The 20359-nt window shown below is 38.8% G+C and overlaps 1 long non-coding RNA gene across 1 annotated transcript in view, besides 1 other annotated feature; it reads left to right on the top strand.

Annotated features, from left to right (window-relative positions):
- Positions 1-20359, top strand: part of USP38-DT (USP38 divergent transcript) — a 396420-nt gene that overhangs the window by 12945 nt on the left and 363116 nt on the right. The gene's annotated exons all lie outside the window — the stretch shown is intronic.
- Positions 4807-5101: an enhancer, noted in NCBI's record as "tiled region #2118; K562 Activating DNase unmatched - State 4:PromP, and HepG2 Activating DNase matched - State 4:PromP". NCBI's record gives its function as "activates a minimal TATA promoter and a strong SV40 promoter by Sharpr-MPRA in K562 cells, with weaker activation in HepG2 cells {active_cell/tissue: HepG2 | K562}" and the evidence as "EXISTENCE:reporter gene assay evidence [ECO:0000049][PMID:27701403]".

The raw sequence follows: 20359 nt of genomic DNA, 5'->3' as shown, positions 1-20359 counted from the left end.
TAATGATTGCCATTCTAACTGGTGTGAGATGGTATCTCATTGTGGTTTTGATTTGCATTTCTCTGATGGCCAGTGATGATGAGCATTTTTTCATGTGTCTTTTGGCTGCATAAATGTCTTCTTTTGAGAAGTGTCTGTTCATATCCTTCGCCCACTTTTTGATGGGGTTGTTCATTTTTTTTCTTGTGAATTTGTTTGAGTTCATTGTAGATTCTGGATATTAGCCCTTTGTCAGATGAGTAGGTTGCAAAAATGTTCTCCCATTCTGTAGGTTGCCTGTTTACTCTGATGGTAGTTTCTTTTGCTGTGCAGAAGCTCTTTAGTTTAATTAGATCCCATTTGTCAATTTTGGCTTTTGTTGCCATTGCTTTTGGTGTTTTAGACATGAAGTCCTTGCCCATGCCTATGTCCTGAATGGTATTGCCTAGGTTTTCTTCTGAGGTTTTTATGGTTTTAGGTCTAACATTTAAGTCTTTAATCCATCTTGAATTGATTTTTGTATAAGGTGTAAGGAAGGGATCCAGTTTCAGCTTTCTACATATGGCTAGCCAGTTTTCCCAGTACTATTTATTAAATAGGGAATCCTTTCCCCATTTCTTTTTTTTGTCAGGTTTGTCAAAGATCAGATAGTTGTAGATATGTGGCATTATTTCTGAGGGCTCTGTTCTGTTCCATTGGTCTATATCTCTGTTTTGGTACCAGTGCCATGCTGTTTTGGTTACTGTAACCTTGTAGTATAGTTTGAAGTCAGGTAGCGTGATGCCTCCAGCTTTGTTCTTTTGGCTTAGGATTGACTTGGCAATGTGGGCTCTTTTTTTGTTCCATATGAACTTTAAAGTAGTTTTTTCGAATTCTGTGAAGAAAGTCATTGGTAGCTTGATGGGGATGGCATTGAATCTATAAATTACCTTGGGCAGTATGGCCATTTTCACGATATTGATTCTTCCTACCCATGAGCATGGAATGTTCTTCCATTTGTTTGTATCCTCTTTTATTTCATTGAGCAGTGGTTTGTAGTTCTCCTTGAAGAGGTCCTTCAAGTCCTTTGTAAGTTGGATTCCTAGGTATTTGATTCTCCTTGAAGCAATTGTGAATGGGAGTTCACTCATGATTTGGCTCTCTATTTGTCTGTCATTGGTGTATAAGAATGCTTGTGATTTTTGCACATTGATTTTGTATCCTGAGACTTTGCTGAAATTGCCTATCAGCTTAAGGAGATTTTGGGCTGAGATGATGGGGTTTTTTAGATATACAATTCCATCATCAGCAAACAGGGACAATTGGACTTCCTCTTTTCCTAATTGAATACCCTTTATTTCCTTCTCCTGCCTGATTGCCCTGGCCAGAACTTCCAACACTATGTTGAATAGGAGTGGTGAGAGAGGGCTTCCCTGTCTTGTGCCAGTTTTCAAAGGGAATGCTTCCAGTTTTTGCCCATTCAGTATGATAGTGGCTGTGGGTTCATCATAGATAGCTCTTATTATTTTGAGATACGTCCCATCAATACCTAATTTATTGAGAGTTTTTAGCATGAAGGGCTGTTGAATTTTGTCAAAGGCCTTTTCTGCATCTGTTGAGATAATCATGTGGTTTTTGTCTTTGGTTCTGTTTATATGCTGGATTACGTTTATTGATTTTTGTATGTTGAACCAGCCTTGCATCCCAGGGATGAAGCCCACTTGATCATGGTGGATAAGCTTTTTGATGTGCTGCTGGATTCGGTTTGCCAGTATTTTATTGAGGATTTTTGCATCGATGTTCATCAGGGATATTGGTCTAAAATTCTCTTTTTTTGTTGTGTCTCTGCCAGTCTTTGGTATCAGGATGATGCTGGCCTCATAAAATGAGTTAGCGAGGATTCCCTGTTTTTCTATTGATTGGAATAGTTTCAGAAGGAATGGTACCAGCTCTTCCTTGTACCTCTGGTAGAATTTGGCTGTGAATCCATCTGGTCCTGGACTTTTTTTGGTTGGTAAGCTATTAATTATTGCCTCAATTTCAGATTCTGTTATTGGTCTATTCAGAGATTCAACTTCTTCCTGGTTTAGTCTTGGGAGGGTGTATGTGTCGAGGAATTTATCCATTTCTAGATTTTCTAGTTTATTTGCATAGAGGTGTTTATAGTATTCTCTGATGGTAGTTTGTATTTCTGTGGGATCGGTGGTGATATCCCCTTTGTCATTTTTTATTGCTCTATTTGATTCTTCTCTCTTTTCTTCTTTATTAGTCTTGCTAGCGGTCTATCAATTTTGTTGATCTTTTAAAAAAACCAGCTCCTGGAGTCATTGATTTTTTGAAGGGTTTTTTGTGTCTCTGTCTCCTTCAGTTCTGCTCTGATCTTAGTTATTTTTTGCCTTCTGCTAGCTTTTGAATGTGTTTGCTCTTGCTTCTCTAGTTCTTTTAATTGTGATGTTAGGGTGTCAATTTTAGATCTTTCCTGCTTTCTCTTGTGGGCATTTAATGCTAAAAATTTCCCTCTACACACTGCTTTGAAGGTGTCCCAGAGATTCTGGCATGTTGTGTCTTTGTTCTCGTTGGTTTCAAAGAACATCTTTATTTCTGCCTTCATTTCATTATGTAGCCAGTAGTCATTCAGGAGCAGGTTGTTCAGTTTCCATGTAGTTGAGCGGTTTTGAGTGAGTTTCTCAATCCTGAGTTCTAGTTTGATTGCACCATTGTCTGAGAGACAGTTTGTTATAATTTCTGTTCTTCTACGTTTGCTGAGGAGTGCTTTACTTCCAGCTATGTGGTCAATTTTGGAATAGGTGTGGTGTGGTGCTGAAAAGAATGTATATTCTGTTGATTTGGGGTGGAGAGTTCTGTAGATGTCTATTAGGTCCGCTTGGTGCAGAGCTGAGTTCAATTCCTGGATATCCTTGTTAACTTTCTGTCTCGTTGATCTGTCTAATGTTGACAGTGGGGTGTTAAAGTCTCCCATTATTATCGTGTGGTAGTCTAAGTGTCTTTGAAGGTCTCTAAGGACTTGCTTTATGAATCTGGGTGCTCCTGTATTGGGTGCATATATACTTAGGGTAGTTAGCTCTTCTTGTTGAATTGATCCCTTTACCATTGTGTAATGGCCTTCTTTGTCTCTTTTGATCTCCATTTTATCAGAGACTAGGATTGCAACCCCTGCCTTTTTTTTGTTTTCCATTTGCTTGGTAGATCTTCCTCCATCCCTTTATTTTGAGCCTATGTGTGTCTCTGCACATGACATGGGTTTTCTGAATACAGCACACTGATGGTTCTTGACTCTTTATCCAATTTGCCAGTCTGTGTCTTTTAATTGGAGCATTTAGCCCATTTACATTTAAGGTTAATATTGTTATGTGTGAATTTGATCCTGTCATTATGATGTTAGCTGGTTATTTTGCTCATTAGTTGATGCAGTTTCTTCCTAGCCTCGATGGTCTTTACAATTTGGCATGTTTTTGCAGTGGCTGGTACCGGTTGTTCTTTTCTGTGTTTAGTGCTTCCTTCGGGAGCTCTTTTAGGGCAGGCCTGGTGGTGACAAAATCTCTCAGCATTTGCTTGTCTGTAAAGGATTTTATTTCTCTTTGCTTATGAAGCTTAGTTTGGCTGGATATGAAATTCTGGGTTGAAAACTCTTTTCTTTAAGAATGTCGAATATTGGCCCCTACTCTCTTCTGGCTTGTAGAGTTTCTGCCGAGAGATCAGCTGTTAGTCTGATGGGCTTCCCTTTGTGGGTCACCCGACCTTTATCTCTGGCTGCCCTTAACATTTTTTCCTTCATTTCAACTTTGGTGAATCTGACAATTATGTGTCTTGGAGTTGCTCTTCTCGAGGAGTATCTTTGTGGCGTTCTCTGTATTTCCTGAAATTGAATGTTGGCCTGCCTTGCTAGATTGGGGAAGTTCTCCTGGATAATATCCTGCAGAGTGTTTTCCAACTTGGTTCCATTCTCCCCGTCACTTTCAGGTACACCAATCAGACGTAGATTTGGTCTTTTCACATTGTCCCATATGTCTTGGAGGCTTTGTTCATTTCTTTTTATTCTTTTTTCTCTAAACTTCTCTTCTTGCTTCATTTCATTCAGTTGATCTTCCATCACTGATACCCTTTCTTCCAGTTGATTGAGTTGGCTACCGAGGCTTGTGCATTCGTCACATAGTTCTCGTGCCGTCGTTTTCAGCTCCATCAGGTCTTTTAAGGACTTCTCTGCATTGGTTATTCTAGTCAGCCATTCATCTAATTGTTTTTCAATGTTTTTAACTTCTTTGCCATGGGTTCAAACTTCCTCCTTTAGCTTAGAGTAGTTTGATCATCTGAAGCCTTCTCACAACTCATCAAAGTCATTCTCCGTCCAGCCTTGTTCCGTTGCTAGTGAAGAGCTGCGTTCCTTTGGAGGAGGAGAGGTGCTCTGATTTTTAGAGTTTCCAGTTTTTCTGCTCTGTTTTTTCCCCATCTTTGTGGTTTTATCTACCTTTGGTCTTTGATGATGGTGACGTACAGATGGGGTTTTGGTGTGGATGTCCTTTCTGTTTGTTAGTTTTCCTTCTAACAGTCAGGACCCTCAGCTGCAGGTCTGTTGGAGTTTGCTGGAGGTCCACTCCAGATGCTGTTTGCCTGGGTATCAGCAGCGGAGGCTTCAGAACAGCAGATATTGGTGAACAGCAAATGTTGCTGCCTGATCGTTCCTCTGGAAGTTTTGTCTCAGAGGAGTACCCGGCTCTGTGAGGTGTCAGTCTGCCCCTACTGGAGGGGTGCCTCGCAGTTAGGCTACTCGGGGGTCAGGGACCCATTTGAGGAGGCAGTCTGTCCGTTTTCAGATCTCAAGCTGCGTGCTGGGAGAATCACTACTCTCTTCAAAGCTGTCAGACAGGGACATGTTAAGTCTGCAGAGGTTTCTGCTGCCTTTTGTTCGGCTATGCCCCACCCCCAGAGGTGGAGTCTACAGAGGCAGGCAGGCCTCCTTGAGCTGCGGTAGGCTCCACCCAGTTTGAGTGTCCTGGCTGCTTTGTTTACCTACTCAATCCTGGGCAATGGTGGGCGCCCCTCCCCCAGCCTCGCTGCTGGCTTGCAGTTTGATCTCAGACTGCTGTGTTAGCAATGAGCAAGGCTCCGTGGGCGTAGGACGCTCCCAGCCATGCGCGGGATATAATCTCCTGGTGTGCCGTTTGCTAAGACCATTGGAGAAGCACAGTATTAGGGTGGGAGTGACCTGATTTTCCAGGTGCTGTCTGTCACCGCTTTCTTTGACTAGGAAAGGGAATTCCCTGACCCCTTCCTTGCGCTTCCCGGGTGAGGTGATGCCTCGCCCTGCTTTGGCTCACGCTTGATGCACTACACCCACTGTCCTGCACCCACTTTCCGACACTCCCCAGTGAGATGAACCTGGTACCTCAGTTGGAAATGCAGAAATCACCCATCTTCTGCGTTGCTCACGCTGGGAGCTGTAGACTGGAGCTGTTCTTATTCGGCCATCTTGTCTCCACCCCCTACTATTAATTTTAAAAAGTATGGTAGGAAAAGAAGCTGTATTGATGTTTATAAGAAGCTATCTTTTATCTCCAAAGGCATGGGGGTAGAAATACACACACACACACACACACACACACACACACACACACACACACACACGTATTTGCTTATTTTTTAAAATGAGTAAGCCCTAGAAAGGATACACATAAGGGAAGAAGAACATATGACTTGACTTCTTTGAAAATTTGTTTTGCATGTTTGATTTTAGGACGATGTAAATATTTTACCTAATTATAGAACACAATAAAGGAAAAAGAAGAAATCTCTACAAAATGCAATGAAACAAACTTACTTGTGTAATATAGCACTTTGGTTCATAACACACAAAAAGGAAATATTCCTAGTGATTTTATTTTTTTTGAGACAGTCTCACTCTGTTTTCTAGGCTGGAGTGCAGTGTTATGGATCACTTGGCTCACTGTAATTTCTGCTTCCTGGGTTCAAGCAGTTCTCCTGCCTCAGCCTCCCAAGGAGCTGGGACTCCAGGTGTATGTCATCATGCCTGGCTAACTTTTGTATTTTTAATAGAGATGGGGTTTTACCCTGTTGGCCAGGCTGGTCTCGAACTCCTGGCCTTAAGTGCGGCGGGAATATTGCTTGAGCCCAGCAGTTTGAGACTAGCCAGGGCAATAGTGAGGCTTCATTTCCATTAAAAAAAATTTAAAAAGTAGCCAGGTGTGGTGGTGCACACCTGTTGTCTCAGCTACAAGGGAGGCTGACACAAGAGGATCCCTTGAGCCCAGGAGGTTGAGGCTGCAGTGAGCCATGTTCACACCACTATACTGTAGCCAGAGTGATAGAGTGAGACCCTGTCTCAAAAAAATAAAAAATCTTAACCAATCAAAATGCATAGACCTTATTTGAATCTCAATTTAAACCACACAAAAATTAACATAAAACACTCGAGGAAAAGTGAACCCTGGATGGATATTTGATAATATAAAAGAAGTTTTTAAAGGTTTAATAATGGCATTGTGATTATGTTTTAAAAGAATCCTTATCTTTTGGAGATACATACTGAAATAGTCACAGATAAAATATAGATTTACTCCAGAATGATGTAGGAGTAGGGTTGTGGGTTTCACTGAAAAACAATGGCCTATGATAATTGTTGAAAATAGGTGATAGGGATAAAAAGTTAAAAAAAAACCCACAAAGAATATTCTAGATCTCTTTTTGAGAGAAGACTTAAGGAAGGCATGGGGGATTACAGCAGAAGCAGGGAGATTAGTTAAATCACTATTGGAGTAATCTAGGAGATAGTTGGTTGTGGCTTGGACCAGGGTTATTAACAGTGGAGGTGGAAAGAAGTGTTAAGATTCCAAATACAGTTTAAAGATAGCACTCTTAATATTTGTTAGATTGAATCAGGAGGGTGAGAGAAAAAAGAAGTCAAGAATGACTCCAAGGTTTTTCATCTGAGCATTTTGGAAGATGGAGTGACCAATAACTAAGATGGTGAAGACTGCCAAAGAAGCAGGTTTAGGAGAGATGAACTTAATTTGGGGTATATTATATTTGAGATGTCTACTAAACCACCAAGTGAAGATGTTAATTAGTTGAATATATGAGTCCTGAGTTTAGGGAAAATTTTAAAGCTAGAGATAAAATTCAAGTTATTCACACATGGTGATATTTCAGGCACAATGTAATTGAGATCACTAAAGAAATTAGAAGAGATCTAGCTCTAAGTTAAGAACTCCAGCATTAAGATATTTGAGAGAAAAGGGGTGTCATAGTTCATCTGAGCTGCTATAACAGAATACCTTAGACTGAGTAATTTATAAACAATAGAAATTTATTTCTCATTGTTCTGGAGGTGGGCAAATCCAAGATAAAGGCATCAGCAGATTTGAAGTCTGGTGACAGCTCTCTTTAATGTCAGTGCCTTGTTGTGGAGTCCTCACATGGTCACATGGAAAGAGCTGGGGGCTCCCTTGAGCTGCTTTTATAGGAGCACTAATCTCATTCATGAGGACACTGTCCTCATTACCTAGTCACCTCCCAAAGACCCCACCTTTTAATACCATCCTCTTAGAGTTAGGTTTCAACTGTAAATTTTCAAGAAGACACATACATTCAGACCATAGCAAGGAGGGAACAAAGGAAACTTTGAAGGAGTAACCAGTGAGGTTGGAGGAAAACCAAGAGAGTGTGGTATCCTGGAAGCCATGTAAGGAAGATAATTAGCTGTGTCACCTATTGCTAAATAGTCTAATAAGATGAGGATTAAGAATAGATCACTGGGTTTAACAACATAAAGATTAACAGTTGGATGGAGTGGTGAGTATTAAAGCCTAATGGTAAGCTCAGGAGAAAATGGGAAAGTAGTGACAGCAAATGTAAACACTCATTTCAAGGAGACTTACCAAAGGAAAGGAAAAAATGGGAGTGGTAGCTATAGAGTGAAGTAGGATCAAGCAAAAGTTTTATTTTAAGAATAGAAAAAAAGTATGTTTGTTGGGCTAATGGATAAAAAACTTAGAAGAGGAAGAAAAATTATTGATGCTAGAGAAAGAAAGAAAAGTTGCTGAGACAATGCCCTTAAGTAGGCAAGAAAGAATGTAGCATGCAAATTAAGTGGTTTTCCTTTGCTAGGAGAATGAACAAAATTCACTCATTGTAGGTGAGTGAATGTGCCTGTGGTGATTGCTTCTATTTTCTCAGTATAATAAAAAGCAAGATCATCAGTTGAGAATGAGACTGACAGAGGAAGAGATGGAGATTTTAAGAGAGAGGTGAAGTGATGTAATAGTTGTTTAGAACACTGGAAATAAGTATAATTCCTAGCCAGCATTAAGGGCCTGTTTGAAGTTAGTGATACCAGTCAATTTGTTCATTTTGTTTTCCTCCAGCTGCGTTCACATGTACAGGTGTACAGGTGTAAGCATGGAATAGGTAGAGAGTTGGACAGAACCAGGGTGGTGTCTTAGCCAAGTACAAGGAAGCAAGCTAAGGGCAGGAAAGTTAGGCTGTATGCAAGGGAGGGATTATGATGGACCACGGAATTTAAGCTGAATAAAAATGAAGTGAGTAAATAATATAAGGGGCGAAGGACAATAAAAAGATGTTAGGATCAATGAATTACAGGTTCTGGTAGGTCAGAGGGTTGTTGGAATTCTCCAAATTCCAACTAGAGGGAGTGAGCTGGAAAGATAGGAGTTGGTGCTCAGAAAACCGAATGTTTTAAATTGAAATGATAGAGGGGCTGTAGTTATTGGGAATGACATTTAGTTATGACCATGAGAGTAAGTGGCTGGAAGAGGGGGGAGGGCAAAACCATTAAAGGAGATCAAGTCAAAGAACTGTGTGACAATATACTGGAAAGGTAATTTATGTGGACATTGAAGTCAGCCGAGAATTATGACAGGAATAAGGTTTGTGACAGTATCAGTGAGTCAGGAGCTACAATCTTGAGGATATGAGGTAGAAGGAGAGTGACTTGGAGGTTGTTTGAGCACTGCATCAGGGAAAGGTTGATAGCGCTATAGTTTGATTTAATAAAATCTAAATGAAGGAGGGAGGCGGAATAGTCTGGAAGGAGTAACAAGTAATAAGAATGTCACCTTCTTAATCTCTAGACCCAATAGCAGTAGAGTTTGAGGGAAAGAACATCTACCTTTTGAGTAAGCTGCAGACAAGAGGGCTACAGGGTTGATCAAGTAAAAATTAAGTGAATGTTGAGGTGATTTTGCTGGTGACTGTCTGAGTCTTAGCATAGTGGAAAGATTTCAGGAGTTGGGCAGAGATAAGAAATGGAGTTAAATAAGGGGATGTTCAGAACCTTTTGGGAATTAGAGTCCTGAGGATGAGTTGATTTTGACTTTTTGTGGCAACTAGAATCAACAGGCATAAAGGGCATAATAAACTTAATCTTGATGAAAGTCTTTAATAAAAGCTTTAAATTCACAATTGAAGCTATAATGAAACAAACGTGCAACCTCAATGCAGATTCAAGGACAAGCTTGGTTTTAGATTAGTCATGAGTGAAATGCCTGTTGGCAAAATGTCTGCCTTGTGAAGGCCTTGTGACTGAATTGTGAAATTATTAGTGCTAATTACAGAATTTCTCTATTACAAAGGGGCCCAAGAGAAGAGAGTGGTGGGATTGGTGGAAAAGCTAAAAATTGGATTCTGTTTGTTTATTGGTTTGTTTGAGATAAAAAGATAATGAGACTTGTTTTAAAGACTTGTAATAGAAACTTCGAATATAATCTACAAGTACATTGTTGCAAAGCTAAAGAAAGTGTGTCCTCTTTTAGTGGAACTTATAGGCAATGGCAGTACTATTTTTTTGTCTAGTCAAAAAATTCTTCTGTCTTAATATATCTCATAATTAGGTTTCATATTATGCTATTGATCAAGTCATCTGGAGGTGATAGATCGCAAGGATAAATTATTAAGCTTGGCTTACTGAAGATGCATATTTTAGTTATTTAAGTGATTCATTTGCTCTACTCCAAGTTTTTTTGATACTTACCAATGATATGTCTCACAGTAGCTTTAACTTCCTATAGATTATTATAAGATTAATAAAAGACCTTAGAAAAAGAACAGAGTTTCAACTAATCAGTAGTTAAAGGCCACAGGCATTATCTAATTTGGTTAGATTTTTATAGTTAGATTACGGGTCAACCCTACATTTCAACTCTCCTACTTCAGTTCCCAGACTCTTCAAATTTTGTTAAGAATAAGTCTAAACCAGACTAAGTGGTTACACTGTTAATTCATGCTATCCAATCTCAGCTGTGCCCTCAGTGCTGTTAACAAAGTTTTATATTTATCTCTAAATATTTCCTATTTCCCCAGTGCCTAAGCATGCCATACCTGCCTCTCTTTCTTTATAACAGCCTTCATTCTTACTGCATTGGAAAGATTGAGGATTGTTAACAACAACTTTCTTAATTTGTCTCCTCTTCAATAGAAAAAAAAGGTTTTGTATAATGTTTTTCTTCCTTTTCTTAATCCTGATGCTTTTTTACCTTCCATCCCTCCCCACCTTCTGTGATATGTTGCTTCATCAGTCATATCCTTGTATCAACAGTCTCTCTCTACCATTCTGGCTTTCCCTCAACAGACAGACATCTTCCTTTCCTCAAACTTGAATTCATCTTATCTATTTGCCCTTTAGGAGCTCACCGTATTTTAACAACAATTTATATAGTGACACGTACCTTATACCATTTAAATAGCATGAAAAATAATGTTTACTTGCCTCTGATAGCCCAGGAGTCATGCCTTAGTGAGCCTCGGTGAAAATTTTTAATGCAATTTGTGTTATTGTTGGAGGCATTTTTTTGAAACAAATCAGTAAAATTATTAAATGTTAGAAACAGATCATGTGAGCTATGCTATTTACCTCATGCTGTTTATTGTGGGCCGTGGGATGTTTATTACAGAGTCAGGCAGGGTTTGTCTGTTCTGGGATTTTATTTTACCATGCCCACAAGCTAAAAAGTTAGCCTGTTACTGTTTCATCCATGCTGATGGAAGACATGTGTTTCCTGGGTCAGAGAGGAAGTACATTATTACTTATTACAGTAAGAAGCAGGAGCATCAGTATGTTTGTATTGGTTCACCTTGTTTCTCATTCTCATGTGGGCGACACAGAGGACCAGCTGGAAGCCATGCAGTAAGTCGTGTTACAAGACAGCAACACTGAACTTGGGGTTCCGCAGCTTTTATAGTGAATAATAAGCAAGACTGCTCTTTTTTCTGGGGTGGAGGCATTACTTTATCACTCAAAGTTGCTTACTACAATCTCAACCTTGAGAAATGTTCTGGACCAGAAGTGGTCAGGGCCTTGCATTCTTGGCACATCATAAAAGAATGTGCAGGATGCTAAGGGCCAATGGCAGATGGCCCCTTCGAATAGGTCCTTTCAGTTCTGGGATCTCTTTCTAACAGTGCTTAGGGAAAGAAATTCTTCACATCAGGATTTTTAAAAACAACAAACATGTATTTTCATGTACAGTCGAGTTATGTATAGATGTATAAAATTAAATATAAGTTCTTCACAAATGGGATAGTGATGTCAATTTCCATTTCTTCTGTAGCAAGTATTTATCTTTGTTCTGGTGCAATCTAGATTTCTTTTCTACCATGTCCTCCTAATATTCCATTGGAGGGTTCTTATCACTTCCAAATCTGCCATGGAATGGTGGTATTTTATATCAAAGACCTTATTATTTCCAGAAATGTCATTACCTCTGCACACCTATAGCCTTAGAACTAAAGTGTAGTATTTTTCTAATATGGCTGCTGTGCACTCGTTTTCTGCAGTGGCAGAGGCTATCTACTCCCCTTGGCAGGAAAACTTGTTCATGATTGATATCTAGACTAAAAACAATTATGATAGGCAGAAACATGGCCACTACAGTGCTTTCTGAGTAACATTATTAGATAGTCTTCCATTTGCCTGCATTACCTTCAGGGATATTGTTTAATAATTTTTTTTTTTTTGACGGAGTCTCACTCTGTTGCCCACACTGGAGTGCAGTGGTGCGATCTCAGCTCATTGCAACCTCCACTTCCCTGGCTCAAGTGATTCTCCTGCCTCAGCCTCGTGAGTAGCCGGGATTTCAGACATGGGCCACCATGCCTGGCTAATTTTTGTATTTTTTATAGAGACGGGGTTTCACCATGTTGGCCAGGCTGGTCTCAAACTTCTGACCTCAGGTGATCCACCTGCCTTGGCCTCCCAAAGTGCTGGGATTACAGGCATGAGTCACTGCACCCTGCCTGTTTAATCATTTTATTCTCGATATTATGTAGGTTGATATTATGTAAATTCATGGGAATATGATTTAATATACAATCTATAGGTTTTTTAAAATGGTTATTTTTAATGAATAAAATGGAATAAGACTAATTTGAGTACCTATAGCTTATAATGATCATTTGTGTAATATGGGGTGGCATGCCTATGTCATTCCTAAATATAATTTTAAATCAAATCAATACTCTTTTACATTCCAAAAATAATATTTTGGTCATATATGTTCATCTAATTAGTGCTGTTGGCAAAGGTTATAGAGTTGGCTTGTACTTCTTTTTTCTTTGCTTATTCTTATTGTTATTTATAAGAAAACAGGAGATGAAATAGCTTGCATAATCTGGGAGCACAGAGAGAAAAAAGAAACTCACCAAAACTATTGATATTCTTCTGGAAACTTTAGTTTCATTAGTTTAATTGTTTTATAACAGTTTATATCCCTTTTTGGGGCAGCATAGGGGGTTATGCTCAGTGGAGTATCAAAGGGTCATAACAGTCTGAGAAATAGAATAAAAATAATAGGTAATTTTCTATATTTCTCATTTCTCCTGACATTAGTAACTCTCTGGGTGGAAGTCCCATATATTTAGAAATTGCGTTAACATATTAAGGTCATTGTGGTGCTAGTCAATAAATTATACTTTCATCGTGCTAAGATAGTATGATGGCCATTCCAATGGACTTTCAGAGACAGGAGAGTATAGCAAGGCAGGGTTACTTGGAATTAGGAAAAAGAGCTCTACTGGGGAGTTAGATCACCTGGGTTTAAAAGTCGATGCCAAAATTTACTAGCTATATGACCTTGGGAAAATTAAATATTATATATTAATATATATTATATCATATAATATATATTAATATATATTAATATAATATATCACATAATATATATAAATATATAGCCTCAGGCTTCTCATATATAAAATGGTAATAAAAACAGAACATAGGGATTTTTGGATTATTAACGAGACAATCCATGGAAGCACTTCACATAAATGCCTGTCACATAATATTCACTTTATAAACTATAGCTCTTATTGTTCCTTAGGATTACAGTGATATATTAATAACAATAGCTAATGAGTTTGGCACTGTTTTAAGCTCTTCCCAAATATTAAATAATTTAATCCCCAAACAATCTTCTGAGGCAGTGATCTTAACATAATAAACTGTATTCTCAAATCAGACACGCAAAAGTTAAAAACTTTACCCTGCATCATTCTTCGCTAATATTTATTACAAGGAATTACAAGATATACGCTTAGCATTAAGAGTCCCAGGACCAATAACACTGCTCTTCATATCATTTCTTGATGAATCAGGATTCACTCTGGCATAGATTAACATATGAGGTCCTTAAAGACGTAATGCATGTGGCTACATTACTTACACAATAGGTAGTTTTTTTAAAAAATGAATGTCACTTTTCCATTGTATACTCAGATATTACTAGTTTACATGGCACTTCCCAGGACAATGAGACATAAATCTCTATATTCCAGGTGTACTTACCGTAACCAATCAATATATACCAAGTAAATCCAGCTAATGGCATTCCAGAAATTAGGACTATCTAGCAAATAAAATTAATGTGCTTTCCAGGATGTTTGTCATCAGAATGTTCATAAGAAGATTTAACTATGTCACCTTTTTTCTTTACTAAAGCCCTCCCTCTACTAAAGAGAGAGGATAGATTGCAGGCATATCACTAAGTAGTTCTTCCTAGGCAGGTACTAATACAATTTCCATTTTAAGGTTAACCTTCCTTAACAGCACAGGAAGGTTAAGTTAGTTGCATAAAGAAAACTAAGTAGTAAATGATGGAGCTGTATAAAAAAGATTATCGTTGCATATCCACATATACAAGGCAATGAATTGTGTAAAATATTCTCAAACTCATATTAATATCTCAATAACTTAAAATTTGAAAGAAGACATATATACCTCAATACATTGAGAGAGAATATTATACAATTCTTCTTGTGTTCTCTTTTTCAGGAACAGCACCACTGTTTAGTTATGCAAACCAGAAATATGGGAGTTAGCCTAACACTTTTCTCTTATTCACCTGCATATCCAAGACCCCCATAACAAATACTGTTGTTTCTACTTCCTAAGTAACTCTGTAAGTGACTTATTTTGCTTTACTTTTCCCTTATCCCTTCATCCAAGTACTATATTATCTCTCCTTAACTACTGAAATAATATATTTCCAGGTGAGAAAATACCCTAAATTAGAACACACTTAAAATCCAGTCTCCACAACACTTACAAAATCTTTTCAAAATGCCAGTTTGGGTCCTGGGCTGAGTAAGATGGTGGAATAGAAGGCTCCACTGATTGTCCCCTCCACGAGGACACCAATTTAACTAAACACAAAAATCATCCTCATAGGAACCAAAAATCAGGTGAGCACTCACAGTACCTGGTTTTAACTTCATATGGCTGAAATGGGTAAGAAGATGTGGGGAAAGTCTTAAATCAGCAATGCCACCCTTTTCCATCTCCTGGCAGTGGCGGTGTGGTGTGGAGAGCATTGCTGTGTGCTGCGAAGAGGGAGATTGGGCAATTATGGGTCATTGAACTGAGTGTTGCCCTATTATAGCAGAAAACAAGACTGAGCTTATGCCCACTCAAGGAGGGAGTATTTAAACCAACCCTAGCCAGAAGGGAGTTTCCAAAGCCAGCAGTCTGAACTTGAGTTCCTGCAAGCCTCACCACCACTGGATAAAGTGCTCTGGGGCTCCAAATAAACTTGAAGAGCAGTCTAGGCCACAAGGACTGTAACTCCTAGGCAAGTCCTAATGCTGAACTGGGCCCAGAGATGGGGGAATGGAGGGACATGTGACCTACTGAAACACCAGGTTGGGTGGCTAAAGGAGTGCTGGCATCATCTCTCCACTAACTCCAGGCTGCACAGCTCATAGCTCCGAAAGAGACCCCTTCCCTCTACTTGAGGAGAGGAGAGGAAAGAGTGGGGAGGACTTTCTCTTGCATCTTGGATATTAGCTAAGCCATAATAGGATAGGGCACTGTCAGAGTCTTGAGGTCCCCTTTCTAGGTTCTAGCTCATAGATGACATTTCTAGACATACCTTGGGCCAGAAGGAAACCCATTGCCTTGAAAGGAAGAATCCAGTTCTGGCAGAATTAATTACCTGCTAACTGAAGAGCCCTTGGGCCCTGAATAACCAGCAGTGATACCCAAGTACTACATCAAGGGCCTTGGGTGACACTCTGGGATGTGCTGGCTTCAGGTGAGACTCAGCACATTCCCAGCTGTGGTGGTTATGGGTTGAGACTCCTACCTGAGAAAATCAGAGGAAAAGTAAAGGAGACTTTGTCTTGCACCTTAGGTACCAGCACAGTCACAAGAGGGTGGAGGACCAAGTAGGCTCTTGGGGTCTCCAATTCCAGGACTTGGTCCTTGGGTGGCATTCATGGACCTGCCCTGGGCCAGAGGTGAGCCCACTACCCTGAAGGTGGAGTCCCAGGCCTGGCGGCATTCACTGCAAGCTGACTAAGTAGCCCTTGGGCCTTAAGAAAACATTGGTGGCAATGTGGAAGTACACCTCATGGGCTTGTGGTGGTGGTGGGCACAGGGTGAGGCTTATCTGCCTTTAGAAAGGGGAGGGACTACATCTTGTTTGAGTGGCAGCCCAGTTGCAGTACAATAGAACACCAGGTAGACCTCTAAGATTTTTGACTCTAGTCCCTGGCTCCCATATGGCACCTCTGGACGTGCCCAGGGCCTGGGGGAACTCACCAACCTGAAAGGAAAGACACGGGCCTGGCTGGCTTTGCCACCTGCTGATTGTAGAGCCCCAGGGCCTTGAGTGAACATAAGCCATAGCCAGGGAGTTGTTACAGCAGGACTTCGGCAAAACTCACTGCTGTGCTGGCTTTAGGTCTGACCCAGCACAGTCCTAGTGGTGGTGGTGGGTGGTTGTATCACTCCACCCTCAGCTCCAGGTGGCTCAGAACAGAGAGAGAGAGAGAGAGAGAGAGAGAGAGAGAGAGACTCCATTCATTTGGGAGAAAGTAAGGGAAAAGAACAAAAGTCTTTGCCTGGTAATCCAAAGAATTTCCCTGGATTTTATCCAAGATCATTAAGGTGCTACTCCTCTGAGTCTGCAAGAACCAGTGTTACTGGGCTTGGGGTGCCCTCTAAAGCAGATACGGTTTAGATCACAACATCCAAGTTCTTTCAACTATCTGAAAGTCTTCCCAAGAAGAATGGGTACAAACAAGCTCAGACTGAGAAGACTACGATAAATACCTAACTTTTCAGTGCCCAGACACAGAAGAACATCTACTTGCATCAACACCATCCAGGAAAACATAGCCTCACCAAATGAACAACATAAGGCACCAGGGATCAATCCTGGAGAAACAGAGATATGTGCCCTTTCAGACAGAGAATTCAAAATAGCAGTTTTTGAGGAAACTCAAATTCAAGGTAATACAGAAAAGGACTTCATAATTTTATCAGATAAATTTAACAAAGAGATTGAAATAATTAAAACAAGCAGAAATTCTGGAGCTGAAAAATGCAACTGGCATGCTGAAGAATGCACTAGAGTCTTAATAGAATTGTTCAAGCAGAAGAAGGAATGAGTGAGCTTGAAGACAGGGTATTTGAAAACAGTCAGAGGAGACAAAAGAAAGATAATAAAAAACAATTGAGCATGGCTACAGGATCTAGAAAATAGCCTCAAAAGGACAAAAATAAGAATTATTGGCTTTAAAGAGGAGGTAGGAAAAGAGAAAGGGATAGTAAGTTTATTCAGAGGAGTAATAACAGAGGACTTCTCAAACCTAGAGAAAGATATCAACATGCAAGTACAAGAAAATTACAGAACACTAAGGAGATTTAACCCAAAGAAGACTCCCTCAAGGCATTTAATCAAACTACCAAAAGTCAAGGCTAAAGAAAAGATCCTAAACAGAGCAAGAGAAAAGAAACAACATACAATTGAGTTCCAATATGTCTGACAGCAGACTTTTCAGTGGAAACCTTACAGGCCAGGAGAGAGTGGTGTGACATATTTAAAGTGCTGAAGAAAATGAACTTTTACTGTGGAATAATATGTCTAGTGAAAATGTCCTTCAAACTTGGAGAAAAAAATAGTTTTCCAGACAAACAAAAGCTGAGGAATTTCATCAACACCAAACCTGTTCTACAAGAAAGGCTAAAGGGAGCACTTCAATCAGAAAGAAAAGGATGTTAATGAGCAGTAAGAAATCATCTGAAGGTAAAAAGCTCACTGGTAATAGTAAGTACACAGAAAAACACTGAATATTATAACACTGTAACTGTGGTGTGTAAACTACTTTTATTTTAAGTAGCAAGACTAAATTATGAACCAATCAAAAATAATAACAACTTTTCAAGACCTAGTGCAAAAAGATATAAAGTAGAAACAACAAAAAGTTAAAAAGCAGGGAGATAAAGTTAAGGCATAGAGTCTTTATTAGTTTTCTTTTTGCTCATTTGTTTCTTTGTTTATGCAATCAGTGTTAAGTTGTTGTCAGCTTAAAGCAAGGGGTTATAAGATAGTATTTGCAAGCCTCATGGTAACCTCAAACCAAAAACATATAATGGATACAAAAACAAAAAACCTAAAAAGCAGGAAGCTAAATATATCACCAGAGAAAATCTCCTTCACTAAAAAGAAGACAGGAGGTGGATTAGTCCATTTTCATGCTGCTGATAAAGACATACCCGAGACTGGGAAGAAAAAGAGGATTAATGGACTTACAGTTCCACGTGGCTGGGGAGACCTCACAATTATGGTGGAAGGCAAGGAGGAGCAAGTCATGTCATGGATGACGACAGGCAAAGAGTGAGTTTGTGCAGGGGAACTCCTCTTTTTAAAACCATCAGATCTTGTGAGACTTATTCACTATTGATAGAGCAGCATAAGAAAGATCTGCCCCCATGATTCAGCTACCTCCCACTGGGTCCCTCCCACGACATGTGGGAATTGTGGGAATTACAATTCAAGATAAGATTTGTGTGGGGACACAGCCAAACCATGCCTGGAGGGAAAGAAGGAAGAGAAGACCACAAAACAACCAGAGAACAAATAACCAAATGGCAAGAGTAAGTCCTTACTTATCGATAATAACATTGAATGTAAATGGACTAAACTCTTTAATCAAAAGACATAGAGAGGCTAAAAATGAATAAGAAACCAAGACTCTATGATCTATTGCCTACAAGAAATACACTTCACCTTTGAAGACACACAGACTGAAAATAAAGGGGAACACACTTCACCTTTGAAGACACACAGACTGAAAATAAAGAGATGGAAAAAGATACTCCACGCCAATGGAAACCAAAAAAAAAAAAAAAAGAGCAGGAGTAGCTGTATTTATATCAGACAAAATAGATTTCAAGATGCAAACTGTAAGAAGATACAAGGTCATGACATAAAGATAAAGAGGATATCACAATTTAAAGTATATATGCACCCAATACTCCAGCACCTAGATATATAAGTCAAATATTATTAGAGTTAAAGAGAGAGATAGGCCCCAACACAAAAATAGCTGGTGACATCAACACCCTACTTTCAGGATTGGACAGATCTTTCAGACAGAAAATCAACATAGAAACATTGGACTTACTCTGCACTATAGACCAAATTGACCTAATAGATATTTACAGAGCATTTAATCTAATGGCTGCAGAATATAGATTCCTATTCTCAGCACATGGATCATTTTCAAGAGAAGACTCTATGTTAGGTCCCAAAAAAAGTCTTAAAACTTTCAAAAAAAAAATCAAAATCACATCAAGCATCTTCTCTGATCACAAAAGAAGAAAAATAGAAATCAGTAACAGGAAGAATTTAGGAAACTATATATATACATGGAAATTGAACAATATACTTCTGAATGACCAGTGGGCCAATGAAGAAATTAAGAAGGAAAATGAAACATTTCTGGAAAAAAATGATAATGAAAACACAACATACCAAAACCTATGGGATACAGCACAAGCAATACTAAGAGGGAAGGTTTATGGCTATAAATGCCTATAATAAAAAAGAAGAAAAACTTCAAGTAAACACCCTAATGATACATCTTAAAGAACTAGAAAAACAAGAGCAAACCAAACTCAAAATTAGTAGAAAAAATAAATAATAAAGATCAGAGCAGAAATAAATAAAATTGAAATGAAGAAAATAACACAAAAGATCAATAAAAAAGTTGTGTTTTGAAAATTTAACCAAATTCACAAAGCTTTAGTCAGATTAACTAAAAAATGAGAGAACCAAATAAATAAAATTGGAGATGAAAAAGGACACATTACAACTGATACTGCAGAAATTCAAAGGATTATTAGCGGCTACTATCAGTAGTGAAATATTGTTAAAGTCAGTGTTGTTAAAATGTGCATACTACCAAAATTATTTGAATAACTATTTGCCAATGAATTGCCAAATCTAGAAGAAATGGTCAAATTCCTAGACACATACTACCTACAAAGATAGAGCCATTAAAAAAATCCCAAACCTGAACAGACCAATAACAAGTAAGGAGGTTGAAGCCATAATCAAAAATCTTCCAGTAAAGCAAAGCCCAGGCCAGATGGCTTCATTGCTGAATTCTACCAAACATTTAAAGAAGAGCTAATACCAATCCTACTCAACTATTCCAAATAATAGGGAAGAAAATACATAAAAAAAGAGAACTGCAGGCTAATATTGCTGATGTATATTGATGCATAAATTCTCAATAAAATACTAGCAGACTGAATTCAACAACACATTAAAAAGATCATTCATCATGACCAAGTGGGATTTATCCCAGAGATGCAAGGATGGTTCAACATATGTAAATCAATCAGTGCAGTATATCAACATAATGAAAGACAAAAAACATATGATCATTTCAATTGATGCTGAGAGGGCATTTGATAAAATTTAACATCTCTTCATGATAAAATTCCACAAAAACTGGGTATAGAAGGAACATACCTCAACATAATAAGTATGTCATAATAAAAGCTATATATGACATACCCACAGCTAGTATCATACTGAATAGGCAAAACCTGAAAGCCTTTCCT

The sequence above is a fragment of the Homo sapiens genome, chromosome 4, assembly GCF_000001405.40.
Source record: "Homo sapiens chromosome 4, GRCh38.p14 Primary Assembly".
Lineage (NCBI taxonomy): Eukaryota > Metazoa > Chordata > Mammalia > Primates > Hominidae > Homo > Homo sapiens.
This window is presented reverse-complemented; position numbering and strand designations above follow the sequence as displayed.